At 38.5% G+C, this 6,273-nt stretch overlaps 1 protein-coding gene across 10 annotated transcripts in view; it reads right to left on the bottom strand.

The window, feature by feature from the left end:
• The window catches only part of LPGAT1 (lysophosphatidylglycerol acyltransferase 1), an 87,307-nt gene that overhangs the window by 79,699 nt on the left and 1,335 nt on the right, over positions 1-6,273 (bottom strand). For 7 of the 10 annotated variants that reach the window (NM_014873.3, NM_001375844.1, XM_047436132.1 and 4 more), the window contains one exon: positions 5,904-6,168. In NM_014873.3, the coding sequence (NP_055688.1) occupies positions 5,904-6,141 (238 nt within the window). In that variant the 5' untranslated portion in view covers positions 6,142-6,168. The remainder of the gene's footprint in view (positions 1-5,903; positions 6,169-6,273) is intronic. The other 3 variants (NM_001375841.1, XM_011510229.4, XM_047436140.1) reach the window with 1 other exon arrangement.

Below are 6,273 nucleotides of genomic sequence, written 5' to 3' on the forward strand. Positions count from 1 at the left end.
ACATCAATCCAGTTAATGCTTCTGGGGAAGTAACTGTGAAACCTCTTTCAATTTCAACATCTATAACAAAAGGAGAAGTGATAACAGTACCACCCTGATAAAATTATTGCGATCATTAAGTGACCGAAGCACTTTGGTCACTGCCTGGTTTATTTTTCAATAAATCTTAGCTAATATAATCACCACAAATATACATATTCCATCTCTTAAATGAATTATAATTATTAAGAATTCAAAGGAATTCAAATTCCTTCAAAGCCTCTCCCTAAGTCCCCTATTCCCTCCCTGTCACCACCTACCACTGATGCTAGATCAGGAGCCCCTCCTTTTACCTCCCCTTGTACCCCTGTATATTTTCATTGTTGGTGCAGTCTCCCCACCAAGGCTGCTGTGAGCTCCTTAAAGTCACTGATTACGTCTTGTGCCTATCAGGTACCTCCAGGGTACCTGTTCCCACAGATAACTGAAGTTCAATAAAGGTGTGTTAAATTAGTAAATGTGGCCAGGCATGGTGGCTCATTCCTATAATCCCAGCATTTTCAGAGGTCAAGGAAGGAGGAGCCCTTGAAACCAGGAGTTCAAAACCAGCCTGGGCAACAGCAAGATCTCATCCCTACAAAAACTTTTTTTAAATTAAAAAGGCACAGTGATGCACACTTAGTGTCACAGCTACTTGAAAGGCTGAGGCAGGAGAATCGCTTTTGAGTCCAGGAGTTCAAGGCTGCAGTGAGCTAAGATCTAGCCACCACACTCTAGCCTGGGCAACAGAGTGAGAATCTGTCTCTCAAAAAAAAAAAAAAAATTAACAAATGTGGTATTTTAAGAGATTATATATATTAAACATGATGTGATTCAAGGTTTCATATTTTGTGGACTGCAATGACCTTGATAATAGACCTTTCAGGAAGGTAGGCAGCTAGGGAATCTCAGAACCAGGAAAGGAAAAAGAGAACATTCAGCCCAGTGCAGTGGCTCACCACGCCTGTAATCCCAGCACTGTGGGAGCCAAGGTGGGCGGATCACTTGAGGTCAGGAGTTCAAGACCAGCCTGGCCAACATGGTGAAACCTTGTCTCTACTAACAATACAAAATTAGCCGGGCACGGTGGTGGATACCTGTAATCCCAGCTACTCGGGAGGCTGACACATGAGAATCACTTGAACCTGAGAGAGAGAGGTTGTCGTGAGCCAAGACTGTGCCACTGTACTCCAGGCTGGGCAATAGAGTGAGACTGTCTCACAAAAAAATAAAAAAGGATCATTCAAGAACTAGACACTTACTGAGTACTCTGTGAGCATCAGGTAACAAATCAGACCCTAGGGTTATAAGGAAGATCCATCAAGTGGGCCCAGAGTAGGTAAGGATCTCACCCCTACCAGTGATAACAGATTTAAAGTTAAAGCTAGACCACTGACTCCCAGAGTTTTCCAAAATCCCAGTGCTCTTTCCACTAGAACAATGCCTCTCAAATGTTGACTGCACTTATAGTAAAAAATACATTCTGAAGCACCACTCAGTATAAACACATGCATTTCTGATATATTCTATTGAATTCTATTTTATTTCACATTCTTAAAATGTTCATCTTCACATACTAAATTGGTTTTACGGCTCAAAGGTTACAAGACATTGCTCTCGAAATACATTTTTGAAACTTTCCGTAGAATTTCAAAGTCAGAAATAATTCCTAAAAATTACTTTTTGTCACACAATGAATATGTATCCCTCCCCGAAAAGCAGGACACTATCAAATAATCACATAACCCAGAAAGACAGGGCAGCTGTCAGTTGGGGAGCAGGAGGTAACTAAACGTAATCTCCATCAGCTTTCCCTAAAGCCCCCCCCAAATAATGCCCCAATTTAAGGAAAACTGTTTGCTACGTAAAAACAGCTTGGCAGCAAGTCCCCTGGCATTTCAGCTCCCTTCCAGCCAGACTTTGGCCCATGACTCTCTCTCACCCTATATAAAAATAAAAATTCTGGAGTTTCTATTAACAGTAAATATTTTTAAAGTATTTCATGCACAGTCTTCTTTTTTTTTTTTTTTTTTTTTTTTTTGAGACAGGTCTCTGTCGCCCAGATTGGAGTGCAGTGGCATGATCACAGCTCACTGTAACCTCGAACTCCTGGGCTCATGTGATTCTCCCACCTTGGCTTCCCAAGTTGTTAAGATTACAGGCATAAGCCACTGTACCTGGCTAAGACTTTAATTAAATGTGTTTGGATGACAATTCCTTTATTAAAATAAGTAAATGAAAATAAAAATAAACTATTTTAAATAAATAGAATACATTTTGTTTGGTATGAAATCTTTCTCTGACATTTACCAATCATCACTTAAACTCCGGGGGGTGGGGTACTGATTTATCCTAGATCCAAATAAAGCATGCAGAAGTGGATCATTAGTTAAGCTAGTATCTCTTTTGGTTTGCCCTTGAAATATTAAGACAAAGGCAATATAAAGCATTTCCTCAACGTGAGATATCTGTACAGCACTTCCTACTAAAGAAAATGTGAAAACAGGCCAGGGGCGATGGCTCACGCCTATAATCCCAGCACTCTGGGAGGCCAACGTGGGCGGATCACAAGGTCAGGAGTTTGAGACCAGCCTGGCCAACATAGTGAAACCCCCATCTCTACTAAAAATACAAAAATTAGCTGGGTGTGGTGGCACACGCCTGTAGTCCCAGCTACTCAGGAGGCTGAGGCAGGAGAATCGCTTGAACTCGGGAGGCGGAGGTTGCAGTGAGCTGAGACTACACCATTGCACTCTGGCCTGGGCAACAGAGCAAGACTCCATCTCAAAAAAAAAAAGGAAAATGTGAAAACAACAATCATTACTACTTTAGTAGCAAGCCGGGGATGAACAAACCCCAGTGTCTTCAGAGTACTTTTTAAAATGTGTAACTTAAAGTCAGAAACAGACCAGAAAATCCCTTTTCCATCTTCTGTGCCTACAGACAGTTCCCCAGCTCTGAGAATGCAAACTAAAGTATAAGAATGTTCATTTAAGTTCTTGGGCTTACTGGCCTCACCATTACTCATCCAAGAAGCATGTATGAATTTACAGGGCTCATTTTTGTGATGAGTTAAGAGATAGTTTAATAAAACTTTAATAAATCTTCTTGTCTTTCACAAAAAAAATCTGTTTAGAACTAAGGAAAGATTTTTTAATAAAAATAAAATTTAGTTTTCCTAAGAAAAGAAAACCATGCTTACTATATCAGCTTTGTCCAGTAGTACTTGCTGTGATGATAGAAGTGTTCTGTATCTGCACTGTCCATACAGTAGCCACTAGCCACCTAGTACTGAGCACTTGAAATGTGGTTGGTGTGCCTGAGGAGCTAAATGCTAAATTTTATTTCATTTTAATTAATTTAAATTTAAACAGTGACATGCAGCCAGTGGCTACTATATGGGGCTGTGTAGGTTAGATAATCAACATAAGTCCTCATCAGCAGAGCTGAGTAATTCACTCATATTACACGGAATGTCATAATTTGGAAAAAGATATATATATATATATATATTCATTCTATACCAATATACCAATATTCAATTTTTAGCTTCCTAATTAGTATTTAAGGTTTCCTCATAAGTGGTTTCTCAACAAAGTTTTGGCAATTTTTATTCTAAAACATGAACATACTTAATCTGCTGAGCAGAATTCCTTTGGCAATGTTCAATTTTCCATCTGTGAAACTTGGGCATAGGGAAAAAAGAACTTCTTCACAAGCCCACCCTCCTATTGATGTAAAGGGAAGAAGTGAAATATATTATCTAAAGAAAGGCTAATATAACACCTGACATTATTTTATGGGTACACCTGTTCATCAACCTCTGCTTAGATGTGCTTCTTTAAACTCAGCTGAGGCTTTCAACCAAATTCATTCCTACATTTGTTTGACTTCTTGACTATTTTCTTTTATGATCAGACTATGACCAGGCTCTCTGAAATCAAGTATTCTACCTATAGGAAAACCTTTTAAAATATATACATTAAAACAGTCTATATTTAAATGAGACAAACTGATCAAATTGTCAAAATTCAGTAGCCTGAAGAAGAGCAGATGCTTCAGAGAGACTAAAATATGCAGATCATGCCAAGACCACATTCCAAGCAGGTGGCAAAAGAAATTACACAGTTCTATAGTCAGCAAGGAAGAGATACCCCAAGAAAATATGCTGAAAAATACATTGCAGCTATGCTATGGCCATAGGACAACTAACTTTGACTTCAAGCAGCACCACTGCACTCCCAATCTCAAGGTCAATGCCAAATTAATTTTACCTTCCCACCATGCTAACAATTAAATACACTATACACACGCACAAACATTTCAGTAATTTCATTTTAAGCAGAATGAACTTCTAGAACGGGTTTCTGAAAATACTATAAGCTAATTTAAAACAAGCAAACTTAAGTATACTATACAAGAATAAAGCCACTAGTACCATATAACATATATTTGGGAACACTCAAACTATACCAAGCCAAGCAACTCTAAGACAGCAGTGCAATTCAGGTAAGAATTCAGCACCATAGATTAGAACTTCGTTTTTTCTCTACCACTGCTATTGCTACCACCAAGTCCTAAAAAAGGGCTAGAAGCACACCTACTATATCCAAAAAGCATTGGAATCTCAACAAGACAGATGACAAGGAAGCAACGCATACACTATCCCAGGGGCTTCAGCTCTTGCATTATTATGCCACTGCCTGAAGGAGAAATAAATAAATAAATGCCACTGCCTGAAGGAGAAAAGGCTTCATCTGGGGCAACTGAGAATACTCAGACATAGCAAGGGTCTGTCAGACTCCATAAAAGCTGTATACTATCAGTCCTTCTCTTGCGTGTGTGGATAAAATGTGCAGGTGCAGCCTAGGCAGGAAAGAGGGAGACAGAATTTCAGATGGAGAACTGCCATACTGCTTGACCCTGGGAGTACCCCTCCTCACTCTGCCAAGCTATGAACTACAGCCTCTACTGACCACAGCATCTGCATGATCTTCAAGGAGCCTGCCTATCAGGTAGGAATTTCTGTGCTAAAAGCCTCCACATCTGACAAGTGCTAAAAACCTCTATGATTTTTTCATTATCTTAATTCTTAAGGGAAAAAAATCAAATAAATACAATAAACGATACAGAATTTTCACAGCAAGGGCATAAGTTCTCAAAGCATATAAGGTTTATCTCAGAAAATAAACACTTCTCATTTAGTTCTATAAAAGTCCACTTCTGAATAGTGTTACTCTTGCTTCCCCAAATGCAATTTAAAGGCAGAAATCACAATCTATTTAAAGACACTCAGAAGATAAATTAGCTTAACAAAGTTAACTTAATTTTTTATATTTAATACTCTCAGATTTATGAGATAAAATATAGATTCTAATAAACAAAAGAAACATACGTAAGAGAAAAGAAAGCCATTTTTGCTTGCTCAAAAGGCTAACAGTACAATATCACGTTAAATGATGAAGAAACTTATTAAACTATCTTAGCACAAATATGGTCCCATTCTTTTTCTAAATTTCCAATGTTTATGGGCATCTTCCATGAAATAGATGAAATATCTTACATCTTCACTTTATAAGCTCTCGAGTCCTATACAACGCACTCCTATTCCTCTACCAGAGCTTTTGCAGACCAGTTTTAATAAATGTATGTCAATCACAATAAAAACACTAAGAAATTTACCAATACATAATTATGAAATTATACTTCTGAAAACATTGGTCTTCCTGAGATTCTGAAGAGAAACCCAATAGAACTGTTTTCTTTTTATTTTTTTCAATAGTGAAGACATGAAAGCATCCTCAACCCAAAGTGTAATATACATTTAATCATGGTTCCTGACAAATTTTTTCTTATGCATTAAAGAAAAGTGTTCTCACTCTTACCTGTATATCCAGCATACCATCCCCAGGAAGCTACCATTCCTAAAAGCCATTTATACATGATTCCTTCGATATACCAGAACCGCTTACTGTCCAGCACTCGAAGGGGCTGAAGTATAATTACATAGCAGATGTAGGATGGAATAGCAACCAGGTTGTTGACGACCATGAAGGCAAACCTCATCAGTGCTTTCACCAAGAGCCAGCCCAGCCACGGAGCTTCTTCCAAAGTTATAGCCATTCTCACACTGGACTCCGTCCTGTCTTTCTGGGGTGAAAGAAAAATTCACTTAAAAAGGAAAATTCATTAAATACATCTAAACAGTCACCAACATAGAAATCGCCCCCAGCACAAAATAAAACAGCGAGGGTC

This window comes from Homo sapiens, chromosome 1 (genome assembly GCF_000001405.40).
Source record: "Homo sapiens chromosome 1, GRCh38.p14 Primary Assembly".
NCBI classification, from domain to species: domain Eukaryota; kingdom Metazoa; phylum Chordata; class Mammalia; order Primates; family Hominidae; genus Homo; species Homo sapiens.